The sequence below is a fragment of the Homo sapiens genome, chromosome 17 (genome assembly GCF_000001405.40).
Source record: "Homo sapiens chromosome 17, GRCh38.p14 Primary Assembly".
Classification (NCBI taxonomy): Eukaryota; Metazoa; Chordata; class Mammalia; order Primates; family Hominidae; genus Homo; species Homo sapiens.
In genome coordinates this window covers 11,819,922-11,844,374 of record NC_000017.11, presented here as the reverse complement: position 1 = coordinate 11,844,374, position 24,453 = coordinate 11,819,922, and the positions used below count along the sequence as shown (strand labels likewise).

Genomic DNA, 24,453 nt, shown 5'->3' with positions numbered 1-24,453 from the left:
TTTCTTCACGTTGTAATAATATATTAATGTACAAAATATCAAAATACAATCTGGACTTTTCCCTTCAAGATTATAATAAATTATTAAACTTCTATTTAATGCAAAAAAGTTTGTTTATGGTATTTTGTGATCTACAGAAATTTAAAGCTTTTAAGAAGTCACATTTAACAGTCCTTTTCTAAATATAGTTCTTTGTTTCTGCATTTAGAAAGACCTTTCACATACATAAAAACTGATCTGAAAACTTTTGAGAAGTTTTCTAGTTCTTTTACAGTTTTATTTCTTTATTATTCTTAACTGTTCTACAAGATAATACTGTTTTGTCCATTTATTAAGAGTATATACTTATTGTGGAATATTAAGCAAAGATAAAAAACAAGATTCATAATTTTACTAACCAGAGATAAAACATTATGTCCTGGTGTGATTCATTCAGTAGCTTTCTTTTTTATGTCTCTCTATTATTCTCTCTCTCTCTATGTGTATATATATATATATATATATATATATACACACACACACACACACACACAAACACATATACATGTATATATACAAATATACATATCAATCACTATACTAATTTCAAACCTACTGTTTTACTGAAAATAAAATCTGAAAGTTTTTCTTGTCAATTATTTTTGCAAATATGATTTAAAATAAACAATGCACACTTTTCTTCCATCTGAATATACATAATTTATTTGGCTAACTTTATATTATTGAACATGTAGGTTATTGGATCTTTAATAATTGGTTAAATGATAAGAACTTTTAATAACAGTAGAGATGAATATGCCAAAAATCAAATTGGAGTTCAATTAGAGTAGTATTTTATTTTTAAGTAAATTGGAGAAATAGTGTCCTTACAAAATTGAATCTCCTAGTACACAAAGTATATATGTTTATTCATATCTTTTAAAATATCCTTCAATAAGGATATGTAGTTTTCTTCACAGTTTCAACAAATTTCTTTACACTTATTTGTACCATATGTTTTGGTTGTTATTTTGAAAATATATTTTCTAACTGGCTATTGTGGATATTAGGAAAGGTATTGCATTTTAAAATTTATTTTGCAATGAGTCCTTAACTTTCCCTTTTATTTTTTATATCATCCATAAATAATATTATGTTTGATATTTCACAACATTTAGGTGATTAAGTATTTTAAATTTATTATTGCATTGGCTAGAAATCCAGGACACATTTTTGAATTACAGTAGTGAAGGGAGCTGTCATTGCACTTTCTCTACGTTAATGACAGTGCCTCTTGGATTCTGTCATTAGATGGAATGTTTTGCTCCTGGATTGGGATTGGTTTTCATCTGCTAGCGAAATAGCCAAATATTATTTTATTCCTACTTTACTGAGAGTTTTAATGAGGAACAGATGTTGAATTGTGTTAAATATCATTTTGACATTTCTCAAGGTGACTGTGATGGTTAACATGAAGTGTCAACTTGATTGGATTGAAGGGTGCAAAGTATTGTTCCTGGGTGTGTCTGTGAGGGTGTTGCCAAAGGAGATTAACACTTGAGTCAGTGGACTGGGAGAGGCAGACCCACTCTCAGTTTGGGTGGGCACCGTTTAATCAGCTGCCAGCACTGCTAGAATAGCTAGAATAAAGCAGGCAGGAGAAGGTGGGAGAAGCTGACTTGCTGCGTCTTCTGGCCTTTATCTATCTCCTGTGCTGGATGCTTTCTGCCCTCTAACATCAGACGCCAAGTTCTTCAGGCTTTGGACTCTTGGACTTACACCAGTTGTTTTCCAGGGGCTCTCAGGCCCTTGGCCACAGACTGAAGGCTGCACTGTCAGCTTCCCTACTTTTGAGGTTTTGGGACCCGGACTGGCTTCCTTGATCCCCAGCTTGCAGATAGCCTATTGTGGAGCTTCACTTTGCAATGGTAGGAGTCAATACTCCTTAATAAACTCCACTTCATATATACATCTATCCTATTAGTTCTGTCCCTCTAGAGAACCTGACTAATACAGTGACTACAAAGCTTTTCTTTTTAATGTATGCTTGGGTATGCATACATAAATAGCATTATATACTAAATTAACTTTACCAGTTGGTGGCATATTGTTTGAATAAACTGCTAAAGTCAACTTACTTGTATTTCACGTTGATATCTTACACCACTATTAATAAGTTAGATCAATCTGAGGTTTTATTTTCTTGTGCTATATCTATCACTTTTAGTATTAAGCTTATAATGAAGACCCTGACTTCTCCTAGAATTCCCCAAATTATTTGATTTTAAAATCTTTTTTTATTACTTGTTAATATTAAGTTAGAGGACAAATAACAGACTGGGAACAATATTATAACATACATATACCAAGGGACTCATAGCAAAAGTTTATAATGAGAAACTGTATAAAAAGAAAGGAAGGAAGGAAATAAAAAGAAGGAAAACTACCTTGTGAGAAAATGGGCATAGGATCTGAGTAGGTAATGAACAGAAAAAGAAATCTAAAAATTTGAAAAGATGCCCATGTGAAAGGAAAATAAATCTCAGGACCCCAAACTCACTAAGCCAAAGGGAAAAGTCAAGCTGTGAACTGGGTCACGCAAACCCACCTCTCATTTGGTTCCTAAATAAAATAGCTACAAAGATAAAAAAGCTACATACTTCCCTCACAATTTGCCCACAAGGAAATTCCTTGTGGGCCCCAAGATCTTTATCCTAAAACAGTTCTGTTGAATTTCACCCTGACAATGTAAATTGACAGCTTATCTTCACAGGTACGGGACAAAGGACAGAACTCAAAATCATCCTTCTGTTCACCTGAGACAAATACATGTCTGATTGCTTCCTCTGCCCTATGTTTATATTATCTTATGTAAAAATGCAGATTCACTGAGCAAGATGGACGCATAAGTGACTGTTCCCCTACCCTCCTCTCACGTGTGAATGGCTGAACAAAGACTCAAAAGGATGCAACCATTTGCCTCTTAACTTACCCACACGCTTTAAAAAATGTTTTTTCTCTTTCCTCAATACCTGCTCCTTTCCTTTTAAACACTGAGGTTCCCAGAGCCTCTTTGGAAAAAGCATGGACCACATTTTTCTCGTGGCTCTGTGTTCTTTCCTGGGCATATCCTTAATCTTGGCAAATAAACCTCCTAAAATGATTGAGACTTGCCTTGATCATTTTCTTTGATCAACACCCAGTCTCATTAGAATGAAACCACTTAAAGTTAAAATAAAAGTGAGAATTTGAAAAGTCATTTCATTGAGTAAAACTGAAGTGACTAAAAATATCTAAGGTTGGCCAGGATGTGGGAGGAGCAGTGTTCAGAACTGTAAGAACAGCTATTTTGGATAGAAACTTGGCAGAATGTATTTTTAAAAAAGAGCATATTATTTTAAGAGGTTTCTATTGTTTCCGTAAGAAGTTAAAACAAACTTCCTGACTCAAAACAACATGGATGTACTATCTTGCCATTCTGGAGGTCACAAGTCCTAAAATCAAGGGGTTGGGAGGGCTGATTCCTTCTGGAAGCTTTTGTGGAGAATCCGTTGCACACCCTTTTCAGCTTCCAGAGGTTGTCCGATTCCTTGGCTCGTGGCCCCATATCACACAATATTTTCTTCCCTCTCCCTCTGTCATCACGTCACTTCCTTCTCCCGACCTTTTTTCTCTCTCTTCTATGGACCCTTGTGATTACTTAGGGCCCACCTGGATAATCCCAGATAATCCCCCTGTCTCAAGATCCTTAACTTAATGATATCTGCAAAGTCACTTTTGTTATATGAGGCAACATTCACATGCTTCAGAGATTAGGATGTGGAACTCTTTGGGGGAGAGGCATTATTTAGCCTACCATGTTGTTCTGTCAAGCAATTATACTTCTTGTTTGCCCAGAGAAATTCTTACACACAAACAATAAAGATATATGTATAAGGAAAATTGTATTGAAAAAAGTAAACTAAATGCTCAAAAATAGATAAATAATTAAATAGAATGCAGTACTATTAGACAGAGTACTATGAAGCATTAAATAAATGAGGTTTCAATACATGTACTGGCATGAAATAAAGTAATCTTGTATCAAGAGGGAAAGCGAGATTCCACATGTGAGACCATACAGTGTATTTCTGTTTATGTCTGACTCATTTCACTTAGCATAATGTCTTCTAGGCTCATTAGTGTTGTTGCAAATGCAGGATGTCTTTCTTGTATAATGTCGATGGACATTTATGTTTTCTCCATATTTTGGCTTTTGGGAATGAGGCTGCAATGAATAAAGGAGTGCAGATATCTCTATGAGGTGTTGATTTCATTTCCCTTGGGTATATACCCAAAAGAGGGATTGCTGGGTCATATGCTGTTTCTATTTTTAATGTTTTGAGAAGCCTTTGTATACTGTTTTCCATAGCAGCTGTACCAATCTGCATCCTCACCAACAGTGCACAAGCATTCCCATTTCTTCACACTTTGACCAACACATATTATTGCGTATGGGAAATTTGCTAAGAAAGCAGATTTTAGGTGCTCTCACTGTACATACATAAATATAACTATGTGAGGTGGTGAATATGTTAATTTGCTTGACTGTGGCAATCATTTTACTATGTATATGCATATCAAAAGCATCATACCTTAAATACATACAGTAAAACAGGAGGGAAAGTAATTTGGTAATTTCCATTTGTATTTAAGATTTGTTTTATATGTGCATTAATACAAACATAAATGTGTAGAAAAACTGCTGAAATAGACACACTCCAAATTATTATAGGAGCCATCACTAGGAGAGGTCAGGGGCTGAAGCGGAAAGTAAGGGTGACTTTTTGTTGACCCTATATATTCTATACTATTTGAGTTATTTTCTTTTTTTTTTTTTTGAGACAGAGTCTCGCTCTGTTGCCCAGGCTGGAGTGCAGTGGCGCGATCTCGGCTCACTGCAAGCTCCGCCTCCGGGGTTCATGCCATTCCTCTGCCTCAGCCTCCCGAGTAGCTGGGACTACAGGCGCCTGCCACCGTGCCCGGCTAATTTTTTGTATTTTTAGTAGAGACGGGGTTTCACCGTGTCAGCCAGGATGGTCTCGATCTCCTGACCTCGTGATCCGCCCGCCTCGGCCTCCCAAAGTGCTGGGATTACAGGCGTGAGCCACCGTGCCCAGCCCTTGAGTTATTTTCAGCAACAAAAATGCTGTTACCTATTATTTGTATAAGAAGAAATAAGTTCACTGTAAAAAGATGCATGGGAAATAAATAGACCATTCCAAGTAACTTTGAGGGGGTGGGAGGGAGACCATGAAATTGCAAGATAAACCATTCCTAAATGAAGGCAGAAAAAGTTATACTGGATTTATTTTAGTTCAGCTATAAAAACAAAATAAAACTGCCAAAATGGAGACTTAAAGTGTGCAGAGACTTACTACCCACCTCTGATTTATAGGTATTCTTTATGTATTAGCTAAAGATTTATTGCTAACTTTGAAAATAATGAGAAAACAGAGAAATGGTCCTTAAATACCAAAGTCCTGTGAGTGCAGAAGGGTTTAAAGACAGTCGAGGAGTCCTTGGGCTCATGGAGCAATATTCGTCCTTACTACAGGTGGTGTACTATGGACCACTCTATTTCATAAAAACGGGCTGTTGCAACCCAGTAATGCATTGCCACCTGTAGATTGTGAACCGGTCTACAGCTAAACTTCTTGGTGACGGATGGACTGTTAATTGTCTTGTTCAACTCACCTTTAGAGCCTCCCCTGCCACATCACCTTCTAAGCCACCCACTTCTGTACCCACAGCTCAGATATACCACACCCTTCATTCATCTGGGTCTTCACAGAGGTCGTTCCTTCCTGGGATGTTCTTTTCTACCACCTTCTCCATCTAGTAAAATACTTATCTTTATACTATCTGCTTCATGGGGTTTCTCTTCCCTATTTCCTACCTGGCCAGGCAGTTCACTATGCCTTCTTCTGTGATCTCAAGTCACTGAAATTTTTTAATTTTTATTTCTGCTAATGTAACACATGCACATAGTTTACAAGCTGTAATACCACTACAAGGCTGGGAACAAAACACATGCCCATTTCATGCCAGTTCTGTCTCTCTGGAAGTCACCACTTTCAGTTTCTGCACCATTACTTCTAGATTATACTCCTTACTGATAAAGAACATGCTTATGCTGCTACTTTTTCATTTAAGACATTATCAAGTGACTTCCTACCGTAGAATGTGAATATTTAGTTACCGTTACTGACTTCCTTTCCCTCTCCCCATTATGGTTATATCAAACTTTTAGTTAAATTAACATTCAGTATGCACATGAATATGACTATAACTATTGTTCACTTTGGATTAATTTCTTTCTTGTATATCTTAATTTTTTTCTGAAATTAATGAATGCCTTTATTATTTGCTTCCTGATGAGGTGACTTTTGGGCAAACACTTGAAAGAAGAGTGGGGAACCATGGAGATAGTTGGAAGATGAACCTTCTATGCAGAGGCAAGCACTAGTTCAAAGGTCCTGGGGTGAGACTGTGCTTGGAACATTTGAGACCCAGCAGGAAGGTTGGCGTGGGTGGAGTAGAACGGCAAAAGGAAGAGTAGTAACTGATGCAGAAGAGGTGGCACAGGCAAATAATGGAGTGCCTTTTAGGCCATGGTGACATCTTCGGGTTTTATTCTGAATGTGATGGGAAACCATGGAAGATTCTGAACACAGAGATGACATGGTCAAACACCTGTTTTACAAAAAGATTACTCAGATTGCTGTAACGGACAAAGACAGTGTTGGATTATGGGTAGGAGCAGAGAGAGCAACTTAGGGGCTATTGCCATAGTCCAAGGCAGAGATGATGGTGGCTTGGACCTGAGTGGTAGCAGTAGGGAGGATCCAAAGTATTTGAATTTTGGATATATTTTGAAAGTAGTTTGTTAATAGATTGGATGGGAGTGTAAAGTGACATAAAGAACCTGTTAATTCCTGTTTTCCCCTCTCTAATACTAGGGAAAAGAAACTGAGGAATCAAGGACTTCAGTGACTTGCACCAAGCTATACACTAGTTCGAGGACAGCATCTATCATATTACCTGGCACATAGTAGGTACTCATTCAAAATGAATTTTACTTCTGTTGTCTAGACTTCAAATCCAGTGTGATTTTCAGTATCCTATTCCATCACTTCACAAGTTACATACCTATTATTTATTTCAATCTATCAATTAATCAAATTAACCAACAGTATTTATAAATGTTCATTTTGTTTGCAGTTTTGTGGAAACAGAAGTGATAATTCTGGTTATGACAACATCACCACCACCACTACCAACAACAACAAATATTTACTGTGTAGCTATCATCTGTTAGCTACTTTTCATACACTAATCCTTGTAACAACGTAATGGGAATGGTATTATCATTGCTTCCATTTCACAGATGAGAAAACGCAAGCTCAGAGAAGATAAAATTATTCCCAGAGCCACAAAGTTACTAAGTAGTGCAACTAGTATTTGAACGATAGTCATCTTAGGAAATATAAAACCTGTATGAAAAGAACTTATGAAAGACGTTTGTCTTCTTGGCAAGGAATGATCAGTGAACAAGACATGAAGGTGTGTAAATAAAGTGGTTCTATCTTTTGTGTTCTGGAAATCAGAAACAGAAGGCATGGATCTGGAATGTAAGGTTGATTTCGCAATTTGGGTAAGATTTAGACGGAATGAATGGAGAGGGACCCTAAATGAGGAAGGGGGTGGGTACAGTCTAATTAAAGGCCTACAGGTGAGCAGAGTGTTGCTGTGAGGGGCCAGAGAGAAGCCTGTCTGGCTGTAGGAAAGCTTCAGGCTCAGAAACAGTGGTACAGCCGGGTCACACCTCTGATCCTGGCCTACCCAATGATATAACAAATTCCTAATGGAAAAATCTTGTGTTTTTCTTTGCAGTAGAGGCTCATTTAAGAACTTTACTGGTCTTGGACACCCTTACTTTTAGGGTTTCCTTATGCCACATCATAAAAAATACAAAAATGCACTCACATCTCACATTAAATATAATTTTATTATAACCATCTATAATAGGATTTTACAATGTGCCTAGTTGAGGCCCTGAGGCAATAGATGCTACATTCCAATGTGAGGTATGAGGTGACAATGCAGAATTCAAGAAGGTTTCAGAAGATTAGCTTTTTTGACTTTTCAACCCTTTACTCTAATTGAGGATATAAGAAAGTCAGGAGGTTAGAGATTAAGAGGAAACTTCCATGAGGATTACTGGTGCATCCCACCCACTGTGCCTTCAAGGGAGGATGTGGCAGCTACCCCTTTTCACATGAAATATGGAAGGAGGGACTTCAAAAAGACTACTCAGTGAGCTTAATATGTTTCTCCTGAAGTTTGACTGGCACGGTGGACTGGGGTCTAACTTACATCCCAGAAATCTAGAGTGCATACAAATAGCGGGCTAGCTCCGAGGCATGTGGGCAGAGTATTCGGCATGGGGGGCCTCTTAGAGCTTGTTCAGGGAAAGGTGGTGTGGAAATCTCCAGTGGACCAGATGTGAGCCACTTGCATGGCTCAGCCGCCATAGGTTGTTTTAGAACTTGCCCAAGTGTTTCATTTGAAGGAAGAAAGGGAACTGCCAGACTCTCGGGAGAAGGCAGAGAAAGCAATCTGTAGGGATGAGGTCCCCAGTGACTGGCAGAGGATCTCCAAAAAACATATGTGAGCATCTCAACAGAAAAGGGGGCAGCTTTCTGTCCATCTCTGGTGCCAACTCATAATGACTTGAGTCTGACTGCCCCTCTTTTCCTTCCACCTTTGCCTCTCAACCATGGTTATCCAAGTGGGAAAAAAAGTTAATTGTGAAAAATGAGAAAAGAAAAGAGTGGCTAAGCCTCGTGCCCTCCCCACCTTCCTTCCAGAGTAAATTTATGAGTTTAATTTAGTTGACATACAGTTATGTGGTTGCCACTTAATTACTTACCAATTTTGATTTTATAGATTAAAAAGTATATTTTGAGGCTAACATATTATTTTATTCTCTTATCTTAAACATTTAACATAAAAACCTTAAAGGGCTCGTGTGTCCCACAGAACCTAAAGGGCAAAATGGTCCTGGGTTACTGGAGCAGGAAGATCCCTGGGATTAGATTTTGAAGATGTAAATTCAAGTCTCTGCTCTAATATTTAAGTTTATGGGTCTGGCCTAGTCTGTCCTCCTCCCTGGGCCTTGGTTTTCTCATACATGAAGTAAGGAGTTTGGATCAGCTGACTTTTCATGTTCTGTCTGGTTCTAAGATTCCCATCTCCGGGATTTCATTGGTAGCTCATGGAACCGAAAAGATAGTCCTAAGAAATGTTTGCTTGCTTAATGAGCAAATCAGTGACAGTTGGAGCCCACCCTAAACTCTCCCAACATTGTCCTTGCATCTCTTGGGAATGCCAAGGTGGTCTCTGCGTCTACCAGCCCCTGAGGGATGAGCAGGTATGGCAGACAGTCCTCCTACCTTGTTCAGGGTGTTGAGAGCTGCCTGCGCTGCTGTGAGTGCTGGCTCAGCCTTTGCCAGGTCCTCCTCACAGTCCTTCTGCTTCTGTTTCACCTCTAGCATGATGACGGCCACCTTCTGCTCCTCTTCATCTGCCATGGCTTTCTCTCTGCTCACTTTGTCAGTCTCCACACCCACGACCTGAATCAGTTTGTCTGCATCTTCATTTTTCTGCTTCAGCTCTACTTCCTGGGCAGCCAGCTTTGCTTTCAGATCATCCACCTGCATTGGAGAAGCACGGGACTTATCAGGAGTTGTGACTGGAGGGACTGTGGGCACTGGACTAGTCACTGGCCTGTTGGGCATGACCTGAGGACCCAACTCTGTGGAGCAGAATAGATGACAGCTCCTGATACAAAGGTACAAAGCTGCGCTGTCAGATGGGACCAGGCTCCCTGACCTGGGTTTCTTTCCCAGGAACTCTTGATGTCCTCTCTCCACCATAGTAAATGTGCTGGAATATTCTAAATTACATGTGCCCTGACCTTTCTTTTTTATTTCTTCTTCTTCTTTTTTTTTTTTTTTTTTTTTGAGACGGAGTCTCACTCTGTCACCCGGACTGGAATTCAGTGGCGTGATCTCGGCTCACTGCAACCTCCGCCTCCTGGGTTCAAGAGATTCTCCTGTCTCAGCCTCTCAGGTAGCTGGAACTACAGGCATGTGCCACCAAGCCCAGCTAATGTTTGTATTTTTAGTAGAGATGTGGTTTCACCATGTTGGTCAGGCTGGTCTTGAACTCCTGATCTCAGGTGGTCTGTCAGCCTCAGCCTCCCAAAGGGTTGAAATTACAGGCATGAGCCACCACACCCGGCCCTGACCTTTCTCCCTGATGCCAAAACAGCTTAGGCTGCTTCTCACTGACATTGGTAGCTATTGCTTATAAAGCTTCATGTACTTAACATAATACTTTTCATATAGTAGGCCCTTAATAAAGATCAGTCATAATTTAATTAAAAGTAGCCAGTGTGGAGTGTGCCAAAGATTTAACAAGATACAAAAAGGGAATGTCTACTGTGAATCCTGAAAGACTGAATGTCCAAGTGGACAATGATAGAACATATATAAAAACTGACCTCTGATCCATAATCTGAAGCAACCTGCTTAGGAACCAACCCTTTTTCTACAATAACCAGCCCAGGAAGCCAGCTTGCTAAGTCAGACTTGTAGGAAGTCGGACTTCTATCTCTAGTAATATTGCAGGAAGACAAACAAAAACCCCTATAGCAAGTGGCTCCAAATGGCCAGGACTTGATTAACAATAAACAATTTCCTTAATTTTTATCCCTGCTTCCAACTGTGGACCACCCAGAGAAAGCCAAACATGCTCCCCTAACCAATCACATAGAACATCAGACTTCCAGTGAGCCCGCCTACCGCAGGGCACACTGGAAGCCTTCCCTCTTTTGACTATAAAGTTTTTTCACTTTTCTGCCTGCCTTTGAGTGGCTAAGCACAAGTAATGGTGGCTGACTTTCTTGCTAGAGCAAGCTCTGAATAAATAGCCTTTGATTGTTCTCATGTGATTGGTCTCCATTTATTTACACAGTCCTTACTAGAAATAGATGGCCAGATTAAAGTTGAACAGTAAGAATCCCAGTGGCCCAGGCCAGCTGAATTTCCCATCCAGCCCAGCCTCTGAAGTCATATGACACCTGGAGGCAGTAATAAAGTGATGGGAATATCAGCACCTGAGAAAACTTCCATTCTGCTCATGAGCTGGGAGAGAAGGATGATTTTCTATCTACTTTCAGATCAGCAGAGTGATGTGATCCCTGGACCAGCAGCATCAGCATCACCTAGAAACTTGTTAGAAATGCAAACTCTCAAGTCCTAATCCAGATGTACTGAATCAGAAATTCTGGGGGTGGCAATCTGTTTTAACGGTGACTCTGATGCCCGTCTAAGTTTGAGAGTCACTGGCCTAGTGTAATGGCCTTTTCAGATGCAAAGGAAAGACACAGACCTATTTATTTCTAGAAAGTAAAGAAGCTATTTGTATTTGCAATACGGCCCATAAACTTTACATTCCAGAATGGCCTCTTGCCTCTCATTTTTCTGCAGTCTATTTCACGCAACAACCAAAGGTTACTTCAGAGCTCCTGGAACACGTCAAACAGATTCCAGTGCTTTATGATGCAAAATGCACAAGGGGAAAAATAAAACTGAGGCTTACACGCTGTTGATAATTCCCTTTTCAGGGCAGATCAAAAGAAAAGAAAAGGAAAGGGAAAAAAGAGAATGCTCTTTAATTTTGTGTATTCATTGAAACGGGAGACTTTGTGTTAACCTCAAACGGAGGCCTGCTCCCTAGAACTTGTCTTACATTCACAAGTTGGAAGGTTAATCCATTTCCATCTCCTGTTGTTCAGCTGCGGAGAGTTATTTCTACAGGGACAAAGATGCAATTGTAAATCAAAATGATTGAGCGGCATAATCACTCCAGTCAGCAAACACACCAGTAACTTTTTGTTCCTTTTTAAATCTTGGGAGATTTGAGAAAATTGAAGTGGCTTTTTTTTTGGTTGTTGTTTTGTTTTGTTGATTGCAGATATGGCTTATGACCTCAGGTCCAAGGTAAATAACCACCAGCACTGTGAATAGGAGCTTCACAGCTCTTAAACCATGACATGGAGTGACAGGAGGGTCCCATCAGTCAGAATTAGGGCTCCCCCAACCAAGCTTCACAAGGGGCATAACTCAGGTCCATTTTATGGCTTTTCTGCAATAGAATGGGAAGTTGAAATGGTTACTTTACATCTTTCTCTTCTCCCTTATTTAAAACATCCCAGCTACACTTTGGAGGTCTCCTTATTTAGACACAACCACACTTGGATGGGAAGGTTGAGAGGGAGCATGCCATAAACACAGAAGAGACCCTTTCCCTCAGCCCTGCTGGTCCCCTGAATCGGGACCATGGTAGTAAATGGTGCTGACTGAGTGGGGTGACAATACAGTGGTGGTGGGTGATGGGGACCATGGTGGTAAATGGTGCTGACTGAGTGGGATGACAATGCAGTGGTGGTGGGTGACCATCCCTTCTTCAAGAACCAGGCACATGATGCTAAAGAGAGCAGTCATGATGTTTCTGCAGTGCTCCAGTCAGCTTGGGCATAAAACTGAGAAGGAACTAGAAGAACTGAAAAGGAGTGTTTTCCCCGCATTGCCTGTGGGGGAGAACTTTCTTTCTTCAGGCAGCTCTAGGATTTGGGGAAAGATGGGATAGCATCACTGGTTGCCATAGAAGGAGAAGAAGCCCAGGGCAACCAGCAGCAATAAATACTACACTGAGGGCTGGAGACTGTTATAGTCTGGATATTTGACCCTCCAAACCTCATGTTGAAAATTGATCCCCTATGTTGGAGGTGGGGACAAGTGGAAGATATTTGTGTCATGGGGGCGGGTCCATCATGAAGAGATAAATGCCCTTCCTGTGGGGGTGGGTGAGTGAGTTCTCACTTTATTAGTTCCCTTGAGAGCTGGTTATTTTTTAGAAGCCTGGCATCTCCCTCCCCTCTCTCTCTTGCCTCCTCTCTTGCCATGTGATATCTGCACACATCAGCTCCACTTTCCCTTCCACCATGAAAAGAAGCAGCTTGAGGCCTTCATCAGATGCAGACATTGGTGCCATGCTTTGTGTATGCCTGCAGAACTGTGAGCCAAATAAACCTCTTTTCTTTATAAATTGCCCAGCCTTAGGTATTCCTTTATAGCAATATAAACGGGACTAAAACAGAAGCTTAGAGATATTTTCCTGCTTACGCTGTGTCCATATAGTCATCCAGCTCTTTCTGATATGAATTTGAATTTCAAGGAAGCTTTCCTTTTAGATATAGATGTGTCCTACCTATGCCTGTAATGTCTGCCTGCCTAATAAATGTTCACCTTTATTCTGGTAACTTAGTTTAAGTTTCCTTTGGAGAACTCTCCCTTCCAAATCCTTATAGTTTCAGTGGGGCTTATTCCAGCTGTCATTTGATCCTGCCTTGGCCAACGAGAGTATCCAAGTCACAGAGATTCTTCAGCTATGGGAAAACCAAGATGTACAGAATATCATGCAAGTCTCTAGCTCCAGCCCTGTTCAAATTAAGCCCTATCTTTGACTTTTCAGTTATACAAACGAATTCATTTATTTTATTTTGTTGTTTTGCCTAAACCAACTTCAGTTGGATTTTCATTGGTTGCCATCAAAAACGTCTTGATAACGACATCATGTAATCTCAAGATTTTCTCTTTCCTCTCTCTATTTTCCCACCCGTCCCTTCCCATCTTCCCTTCCTTTCATTTTTCGTTTTTTCTCACTAAATGAATTTGAGTTAGAATTTTTCAGTTACAACCAAAAGAATCCTAGTACATCATCATGAATTATGAAACTGTCAACTTCAGTAAGTTTGATGACCTGAGACTATTTGAAAACCCCAAGATAAACTGAATTTAAGTTTCCAGATTGACAGATGTGTGGATTGAGTCCTATATGCAGGCAATTGGCAATGGCCTTGAGGTCTTTTATAAACATTTCTTCTATCCAACAACCCTCTTTTCCTCATGACTACACCTGAGTTAAATGTAGGTGCTGGGAGGACAGTGGCATGTGAGCAGTGCCAACGAGGGACAAGTGAAACCTAACTCAGGAAAGGGGGACCAGGCAATGCCAAGAGAAAGGAAGCAATGACACCAGCTGTGAGACTTCAGCTGACATTGACGCAGAAACAGAAGATGCCACCTAAAGATCTGGTAGGACCAGCACTGGCCACCAGAGCCAGTGAGAACTGGAGGAGTTCACCAGGATGTTTTGTCAGCTGCCTTTGGAAACCCAAGTCCACCACAGAGAGGAGAAGGAGGAAAAGTCCCTCCAGAGGGAAACAGGCCTGTGGGAGAGTTTTAACTCTGAACTGACTACTGTCCAAAGACTAAGTTTTTAACTTGATGTGACTATGTCACAATGCAATGCAAGATTAATATTAAGAGCTTTCTACTCTTAAATGAATAAGATGGATCCAGAGCCATGTTGAATTCAGCTATAGAAAAATAAAGTTACATTTATGATCAGCTCTAATAATGAAATTATAAGTCTAAAGTTTATGAACTTTGACCAGGTGTGGTGGCTCATGCCTGTAATCCCAGCACTTTGGAAGGCCCAGGCGGGAGGATCACCTGAGGCCAAGAGTTTGAGACCAGCCTGGCCGGCATGGCGAGACCCCCATCTCTACTAAAAATACAAAAATTAGCTGGGCACGGTGGCACGCACCTGTAGTTCCAGCTACTTCAGAGGCTGAGGCATGAGAATCGTTTGAACCTGGGAGGCAGAGGTTGCAGTGAGCCAAGATCAGGCCACTGCACTCCAGCCTGGGTGACAGAGTGAGACTCAGTCTCAAAAATAAATAAATAAATAAGCAAATAAGTAAATAAATAAGTTTGTGAACTTTACAATATAATTGTTAATTTTCATCATTATTACAATTATCATTCCTACTTCTAACACAATTATCATTGCTAAATAGATTTGTCTTTTATCTGAGCTAAGGCTATAATGTTCATTTAGCCTCCTCCCGCCAGATTACTAGCATCAAAACCTCTCATAATCAAGCGGTAGGATACCAATACAAAATAACTCAAGTCCTTAGCCTTATACCACTATTTTGATGGTATACTTCAGTCTTTTTATACCAAAGGAACAACTGCAGATTAAGAGTTTGTTACAGAGTTAGGAACCATAGATACCATTTTTACTAGAAGAATCATTATTATAACCATTGCCAAGTGTTTATGGAATGAATACCATGTGCACAGTATTGCCGAGAATTACCCTCCACCCCCACTCTGAGCTCGCAGGTGATGTTGGGATTGTTCAGTGTTAATTTGCCTCTCCACCCTTCATCTATTCACCTATCCATTTATTCACCCATTTGTAGAGTGCTTGCCATGTGTCAGTTCCTGATGCTAAAAGAAAAATGAATCCTGGTCCCTGCCCTTGAAGGATTAATAGCAGTATAGCTTGATATATTCAGGAGTGGAGACATAATTCAAGGATGGAACCCAGAGAGAAGGGAATGCATAACTGCTCAGAGTTTAGAAAGGGCTTCTGGAGCAGTGGGGAACAAATTGTTCAGGTCTCGGAAGTGATGACAAGGTGGGGGTACATGTAAAGATACAGAGATGTGAACCAGTCGTAGAGTTTTGGGGGCGCTGCAAGAGTACTGTTGGACTCTAGGGTACAGTGTGGTAGAACCGAGGAAGAAAAGGATGCAGAAATATGCAAGGGTAGTGCTGGTCTAGTGTGCTACCAGCATACAGTCTGGGAAACAGAATGTTATTCATTCAGTAATTTATTCATTCAACAAATATTTAATGAGTGCCCACTCTGTTCGGGCACTATTTTTTTTTTTTTTGAGACGGAGTTTCACTCTTGTTGCCCAGGCTGGAGTGCAATGGTGCGATCTCAGCTCACTGCAACCTCCACCGCCCAGGTTCGAGCAATTCTCCTGCTTAAGCCTCCCGAGTAGCTGGGATTACAGGCGCATGCCACCATGCCTGGCTATTTTTTATATTTTTGTGGAGACAAGGTTTCACCATGTTGGCCAGGTTAGTCTTGAACTCCTGACCTCAGGTGATCCACCCGCCTCGGACTCCCAAAGTGCTGGGATTACAGGTGTGAGCCACCGCACCCAGCCTCTGATTTATGTTCTAAATTGACCACTCTGGCTGCTCAGCTGAGAATAGACTACAGAGGGGCAAGAGTAGAAGCAAATAAACTAGTTAGAAGGGTCTTGTGGCTATGAAGGTAAAAGATATCCATGACTCAGCAGTAGCGCTTTGAAAGGAGTGAGATGTGGTGGGATTCTGGGTGTATTTTGAAGTCAGAGCCAATAGTGATCTTCTCATGGTTTGGGTGTAGGTGTGAGAGTAAGAGGAGAGTAAAAAGAACCAAGGACGTGGATCACCTGAGGTCAGGAGTTCGAGACCAGCCTGACCAATATGATGAAACCCCATCTCTACTAAAAATACAAAAATTAGCCGGGTGTGGTGGCGCATGCCTGTAATCCCAGCTACTTGGGAGGCTGAGGCAGGAGAATCGCTTGAGCCTGGGAGGCGGAGGTTGCGGTGAGCCGAGATTGTGCCATTGCACACCAGCCTGGGTGAGAGAGTGAAGCTCCATCTCAAGAAAAAAAAAAAAAGAACCAAGGATGATCCCAAGGACTTTGGCCTGTGTGGGTAATATAGTTTGAATATACATCCCTGAGAAATTTCAGGTCGAACTGTCAAATGCTGGAGGTGGGGCCTGGCGGGAGGTGACTGAAACATAGAGGTATATGTCTCATGAATGGCTTAGTACCATCCCCTCGGCACTGCACTTGTGGGAGTTAGTGAGTTCTTGTGAGACGTGGTCATTTAAAGGTGTGTGGCACCTCCTCCCCAACTCTTGGTCTTACTCACATTCTCACCATGTGAGATACTTGGTCCTCCTTCGCCTTCCCCTATCAGTAAAAGCTCCCTGAGGCTTTCCCAGAAGCCATGCAGATGCCAGTGCAATGCTTCCTGTACCGCCAGCAGAACTGTGAGCCAATTAAACCTCTTTTCTTTATAAATTACCCAGCCTCGGGTATTTTATAGCAATGCAAGAATGGCCTCACATAGTGGGTGATGCAAGAGGTAGTGGGTGATGCTGGATTGAGAGTTCAGTTTGTTGAAATCATCCAGGTAAGAAGTGTCTAAATCAAGATGTTGAAAGTAGGGACTCGGCCAGGCATGGTGGCTCACGCCTGTAATCCCAACACCTTGGGAGGCCAAGACGGGTGGATCACTTGAGGTTAAGAGATTGAGACAATCCTGGCCAACATGGTGAAACCCCATCTCTACTAAAAATACAAAAATTAGCTGGGCATGGTGGCGGGTGCCTGTAGTCCCAGCTACTCAGGAGGCTGAGGCAGGAGAATCACTTGAACCTGGGAGGTGGAGGTTGCAGTGAGCCAAGATTGCACCACTGTACTCCAGCCTGGGCGATACAGCCAGACTCTGTCTCAAAAAAAAAAAAAAAAAAAAAAGAAAGTAGGGACTCAACAAGAGGACAGAATTGAGAGATATTTAGAAAACATACAGAACTGGCTGGGCGCGGTGGCTCACACTTGTAATCCCAGCACTTTGGGACGCCGAGGCGGGCGGATCACGAGGTCAGGAGATCAAGACCATCCTGGCTAACACGGTGAAACCCCGTCTCCATTAAACATACAAAAAAAAAATTAGCCGGGCATGGTGGCAGGCACCTGTAGTCCCAGCTACTTGGGAGTGAGGCAGGAGAATGGTGTGAACCCGGGAGGCAGAGCTTGCAGTGAGCCGAGATCGCGCCACTGCACTCCAGCCTGTGCGACAGAGCAAGACTCCGCCTCAAAAAAAAAAAAAAAAAAAAAAACCAAGAAAAAGAAAAAGAAAACATACAGAACTTAGTAATCTTAGTAATTTTTAAATGTGGGAACTGAGGAAAGGGAAGAGTCTAAAATTACCCCCCCAGCTTCCGGCCTGGGGAATTGGATAGCAGAAGCATCATTCATTGAAGTAGAGAATATAACCTAAGAAGGTCATTGGTGGTGGTCTCCAATACTGAATCTGATGCCAATGAGGCAGGCAGCAGGGAATCGGCTTGATTACTTGCAGGTGACTAAAAGCAATGCAAACGAGGCCAAACAGGTTAGCACAAGGACCCACCCCCTAGTAGGAAGCAACTGTTACAACAGGCTTAACAATAAAGACAGATTGCACACATCCTTCTTTAGGCACAGATAAGAATGGAACAAAGAAGAAACCAGCTGAAACTGGTTAAATCCAAGATGGCCAAAAACCTGACCAGCTGTCAGTCCTTGGCTTCATTATGTCCTATTACCATAAAATTTCCATGGGGAACCCTCCCACTCCCATCATGCACCTGACACCATGATAGTTCCAGATTAACCATATTTAGTCAAGAAAAGTCCTGATTCTGGGAATTGCCTGCCTATTTCCTAGAAAACCTCTTCCCTCATTATAGAATATTTTGTGCTTTCATTATGCTTTTCCATATAGTATGTGAGCTCTGACCACACTGGGTGTGGCTTGTTCTTTTTAGCATGCCTGCATTCCTCTCTTGAGTGTGTGCATAAAGCTTCCATACTATCACTTTGGTCTTGCTTTCAAATTCTTTTGTGTGGCAAAGACAAGAACCTGTGCTGGCTCCTGGCAAGATCAGGACTTGGGAGGATTCTCCACTATGTGCAGCTAGAGCTGCAGTCACCTAATGGTATAGCCAGGCATCTCCTTGTTAAATAGAGATCACCTACAACAGTAACACAGAAACTGTGCTTTCTTCAGTCTCTGCTCAAAGACCCAGGCTCTGTACAAAATAGAATACTGGGTTCTGCTCCATGAGAGGATCAAAGTATTTTTCCTATCCCTTACTTCCTGGCAACCATTCTTCAAACAGATGGGCCAGCAATTCCCAGAGGATAAATAGATAGGAGGGAGAACAGGGCTGGTGGAAAATGTTGTGAGGGCATGGTAGGCGGTGAGGAGAGGAAGCACAATGGGGAGGTGGAAGATGTTTTTAAAAATCTGGTAGTACTGCATTCTGAGATTGTATTCTATGCTGTTTGCTACAGATTCAGAGATTGAAACAAACAGAAAGTGATCAGGAGAAAAGATGTTACCTTTCTATAGCAAAGGTAAACTCCTAGGACCTAGACTGGGATCTGTGTAGCTTACGATGCCCTGAACTGGAATCCTAAGAAGAGGTTTTCGTCATCATACAAAGGGAAAGACAGGGGTATCACAGATAATTTGCACATGCCATTTGTTGGCAAACGTTGAGTTTGAAGTGATCTCATGTTTCCTGAAGGTAAATAAAGAAAAAAAAAGGTCTATATAAAACCACAGAGCAAAGAATGGAATAGCATGGAAAAAGAAGAAGGAGGGGGAGGAGGAGGAGGAGGAAGAGGAGAAGGAGGAGGAGAAGGAGAAGGAGAAGGAGAAGACAGTACTGAAAACGATCCATTACCAGACCTAGAAAAAACATGGAGGAACCTGTTTGGCATTATCAGTAGGACAGTTTCTGTGAAACTGTAGCAGAAAAACAGGCCAAAATAAAATAGTAATAGGATGCACCGAAAAAAGAAAAGGATAAAATGCGAAAGGGTTGTTAGGAAATTAAAAATTCAATGGCATAATTAAAGTCTTTATTGCAAGCCTAAGAAGAAGAAGCAATATTACACACTATTAAATTAGTATTGGTGAGGGTAAACTTGAAAAGCTCTCCTACAATTTAGAGAAAAAAGCCAACAGGATGAAAGCAACACATGAGAACATAACAGATATGGGGCACAGGGACCCCATCCAACTGACTATTGCTCCCAGAGGAGAGACCAGATCTGACGAGTGAAATCATATCACAGAAGGACCACTTCCTGAGCAGAAGAAAATCTATGTGTACAGATTGCGAGGGCTCACTGCATCCCACTAAATGAACTTAAATCCTTTAGGTACATTTAATACTTCTGAATCAAGAAATTGAAGAGGGGCAAAAGGACAAGTCAAAAGGAGAAAGTTCAATAGAACAATTCCAAAGGCAAAATGAAAGGCTCAGATAACTACAGGAACACATGATGTCCAAGAATTAGGTGGATCACAATTTTAGTTTAATTGTGCAAATTCATGAAATTTCGCCACCTTAATGAGAGGCTGGCTCTGCTGCTGGAGAAGAGAAAATAGAAAGGGGTCATCAAAGAGGCAGTATTTGATGGGCGTGAGCAGAGGCGAAGCAGCTGCAAGAGTTGGCCCCAACTCCCAAGGGAAGATGAGCAAATTGACTGAAATAAACCTGTTCCATTTGGAGAAGTAAACAGAAAAACATAACAAGGACAGGATGACAGGGGATTTCTTTCTTTCTTTTTTTCTTTCTTTTTTTTTTTTTGAGATGGAGTCTCACTCTATCACCCAGGCTGGACGGCAGTGGTGCAATCTCGGCTCACTGCAATCTCCGCCACCTGGGTTCAAGTGATTTTCCTGCCTCAGCCTCCTGAGTGGCTGGGACTACAGGCACCCGCCACCATGCCCAGCTAATTTTTGTATTTTTAGTAGAGATGGAGTTTCACCATGTTGGCCAGGATGGTCTCGATCTCCTGACCTCGTGATCCACCAGCCTCGACCTCCCACAGTGCTGGGATTACAGGCGTGAGCCACCGTGCCCGGCCGACAGGGGCCTTCTTTCCATGGCCAACTACTCAGATAGAGATAGATGACTACTTAGAGATGCATGAAATGAGACAGGGCTTTTTGAAAAATTGAGGTTCCAATGGCTCTTTGACAAATAACAGAGTAAGACAAAACAAACAAAAATAGTATAACCCTGCAGCCATTCCCCATTTCCTTTCACCATTCATTTCTTTTGGTTTTGAGGATGGAAGGGAAGTGAATTGGAGAGGAAAACGAAGAAATTGCAAAGAGGAAGAGGGAAGAGGTGCTTCAGGGGATTCCAGCATCAATGAGAGCGGATGGATCAGACCTGAGCGGGGCATATGCACTTCTGCTGGGGAACTCAGCCTGAACTTTTGGTACTGTTTCTGATGGTGAGGATACTGTTACTATGGACAAGGATAAACTTGAAAAGCTCTCCTACAATGTAGAGAAAAAAAGCCAAAGGGATGAAAGCAACACACGAGAACATAATAGATACTGATGACATGGGAGTCTCTGGAAAACCGTACATATTTTTCAGATCTTGATTGTGATCCCTCCAGTTCACTGGAAAGGGCTGCTTCAGCTCCCTCCAAGTCCCCTGCAGGTGGAAGGAGCGGGACATTGCTCACCTGGGCAGAGGTGCTATGCAGCTTCAGCAGCCCGTTCTCCAACCGCTCTGTCTTGCACTTGAGCTCTTTTCTGTGCCTGTGCAACAAGCTCTGGTAGAGTCTGATGAACTCCAGAAAGGACTTGGGAGTTGTATAGTTGTAGCGCTGTTCATTGCTCAGATAAGACTGGGATGTTTGGTTGACACTTGTGTGGACAAAGGCCATGAATTTGCTAATCGACTGCTTTACTGTGGGCTAAAACCAAAGAGCAAGAAATGAAAAGATTATCTTGTGTTGAAGATTGGAGGCAACTGCTCACCCCTCACCCCAGCCATTCCTCCACCATGTGGAAACTTATGCTTCAAGCTTGATCTTTAACCCTAACATCCTGGACAGGGAATTCATTGTACCCTCATCTGGGAAGGACTTTTAGGAGTGTCTCCTTTTCTCTCTCACCTCAATGCCCTCTGTGTTCTGCAAGAAGCGGAGGCTGACAGACTCCAATGCTTGCTGAGGCCACTCGTGGAACCAGTGGATGGCTGTGCAGTTCACAATGGCTGGGAACTTCCTGCTGCGGACTCTTAGCTTGTTTCCCACAGGGGAGAAACAGAGAGTCACCTGAGAAGTCAGAAGGGTGGGGAGAACCAGGAAGGCATCAGAGAAATACTCACGGAGAGGCAGATATGGCCTTGGGTTCTCTAGCTCCCAGAAGATTGGGAAGCACATCCAACAGAGATAATATCTGTAAATGCTAGCCAGCCTCACCAGCCAAGAGATCAAAAACGCTGGGACTGCGTGATCCACAAGGGATGCTGCTGCCCTTAAAGCAGATGAGAAGGGTGTCCTGGCAACTGTGCTCAGGCTGAGAAGGGTGCCGCACACTCACCACCTACTCTAGACAATCAATAAGGACAGTTGTGCCCGAAATATCAGTGGAAGCTCCCATGAATCATCTCGGGTCTCTGCCTGCCCCTGTCAGTAAATGCTCTTTACCTTCAGCTGTCGCCGGATCCGATCTATAAAGAACTTCCAACAGTTCTCTCTGTTGTCAACCAGACCCTGGCTCTTGACTTCATTCCTCACATTGCTTATGATGTTTTCAACTTCATCATCAGAGTAGAGATCTGGGATCTCCCCTGGGAAAAAATGGAGCACAGATAGGCAGCCTTGGCATCTCGTTAAATGATGCAATCAGACATGGGAAGTTATCCTACCTTAGGACACAGGTCAGTGGTTTTTAGGCCATGTACCAACTCTCTTGCTGGTGAAGCTGGACAGACACCATGTCTACTCCAAACCCAGGGCAGAAGAACGAGTATGTTAATGATTGGAACAGAGTGTAGGGTACCCTCTTGTCCTGGGGTAGACAGTTGGTAACACAAGAGCCTTCAACAGTCTTTTTTTCTTTTGCTCAAAGCATTTGTTTCCCATCTACTGTATTTTTTGCCCTTTTTGTATTGTGCCCTCCAGGAGTTTAATATTTAGCAGGAAACATGGCTAATAGGATCCAAAATACCTAAAAGACCCCCGGCAAAAAGGGCCATAACAAACATACAGATAGGTCCATATATTTAAAAAGAGCAAGCTATCACTGTTTATGAGAGAAAAAGGGGAGAAAGCAGAATGGCTTCATGGAATTTAGTACATGATAAGCAGGACGCCTTAAATCAACCGGGAAAAGATTAACTTCAATATATGGTACTGCATTAGGAAAACTGGGATCTGAAAAAATTATGGTTAGATGTTGATTTTTTTTTTTTTTTTTTTTTGAGATAGAGTTTTGCTCCTGTTGCCCAGACTGGAGTGCAGTGGTGTGATCTTGGCTCACTGCAACCTCCACCTCGCAGGTTCAAGTGATTCTCCTGCCTCAGCCTCCTGAGTAGCTGGGATTACAGGCATGCGCCACCATGCCCGGCTAATTTTTTTTGTATTTTTAGTAGAGATAGAATTTCACCATGTTAGTCAGGCTTGGTCTCGAACTCCCGACCTCAGGTGATCCACCCGCCTCGGCCTCCCAAAGTGCTGGGATTATAGGCATGAGCCACTGCGCCTGGCCAGATCTTGATCTTATACAGCACACTAAAGTAAATGCCAACTGAATCAATGATTTAACTATAAAAAATGCAGGGAAATAAGAGAAAAAATGGGGGAAATAATCTCTGAGTGGGGAAGGATTTTCTAACTCTATCTGAATCAACCTGTGTTAAAAGAAAAATAAATTTCATGAATGCATAAAATTGACAAATTTGACTGCATAAAAATAAAAATATTTCATGATGAAAATATCACAGGCAAAGTATAGCAATGATAGCAAAATACAAAGAACAAACTAAGAAAATATGTTAACTCAGATTATAGTAAAGTGGTTAATCTTAGTATGTAAAGAAATTCTCTACAAATAAAGAAAAAAATCAATAATTCAATAGATAGATGGGGTGAAGGAGAGGAAAAGAAAGTTCATGGTGAAGGAAATAAAAATTTCTGTTGAATATATTAATAGATGCTTCACCTCACTCATAAGAACAGAAATGTATATCAAAACTATGCTTAGTTACTTTTTGTTTGTAGAAATGAGGTTAACGAACAAGGACAGTCAATCTTACTCTTAATGAAAATGTATATTAAAACTACACCTTATTTTTTTTTTATCAGATTGGCAAAAATCTGAAAGTTAAATGAAAACACTGTATTAATGAGACAATATGTGAAAGTAAAATTAAATGCTCAATCTCCCTGATGAATAACAATTTAAAAAATCCCAACTAAATATGTATAAATTAGTATATGATGACCAAGTGTAAACCCTGTCCCGGAAATGCAAGGATAAACACTAGAAAAAAAACTATGAAAATAATTTAGTACATTAATTGATTAACGAAGTAAAACAATATGACATTGAAATGGATGCATAAGGTTTCTAAAGACTGTTAGCAAACTAGGAATAAATGAGATTTCTCTTTAATAATAGATATCACCCCCAAACCCACAGCAAACATACCTAGTAGTAAAATACTAAAATATTCTCTTTCAAATCAAGAATATGACAAAAAATGATTGCTATTGTGTTTTCTTGTTATCATTATATAGGAGGCCCCAAACCGTGCAAAAAATTAAGAAAAAATAAAATAAAATGT

At 41.3% G+C, this 24,453-nt stretch overlaps 1 protein-coding gene across 5 annotated transcripts in view; it reads right to left on the bottom strand.

The window, feature by feature from the left end:
* Positions 1 to 24,453, bottom strand: part of DNAH9 (dynein axonemal heavy chain 9) — a 371,279-nt gene that overhangs the window by 125,374 nt on the left and 221,452 nt on the right. For all 5 annotated transcript variants that reach the window (XM_011523703.3, NM_001372.4, XM_017024292.3 and 2 more), the window contains 4 exons: positions 22,313 to 22,455; positions 21,776 to 21,937; positions 21,341 to 21,574; positions 9,477 to 9,737 (listed from right to left, as the gene is read on the bottom strand). In XM_011523703.3, coding sequence (XP_011522005.1) covers positions 9,477 to 9,737; positions 21,341 to 21,574; positions 21,776 to 21,937; positions 22,313 to 22,455 — 800 coding nt within the window. The remainder of the gene's footprint in view (positions 1 to 9,476; positions 9,738 to 21,340; positions 21,575 to 21,775; positions 21,938 to 22,312; positions 22,456 to 24,453) is intronic.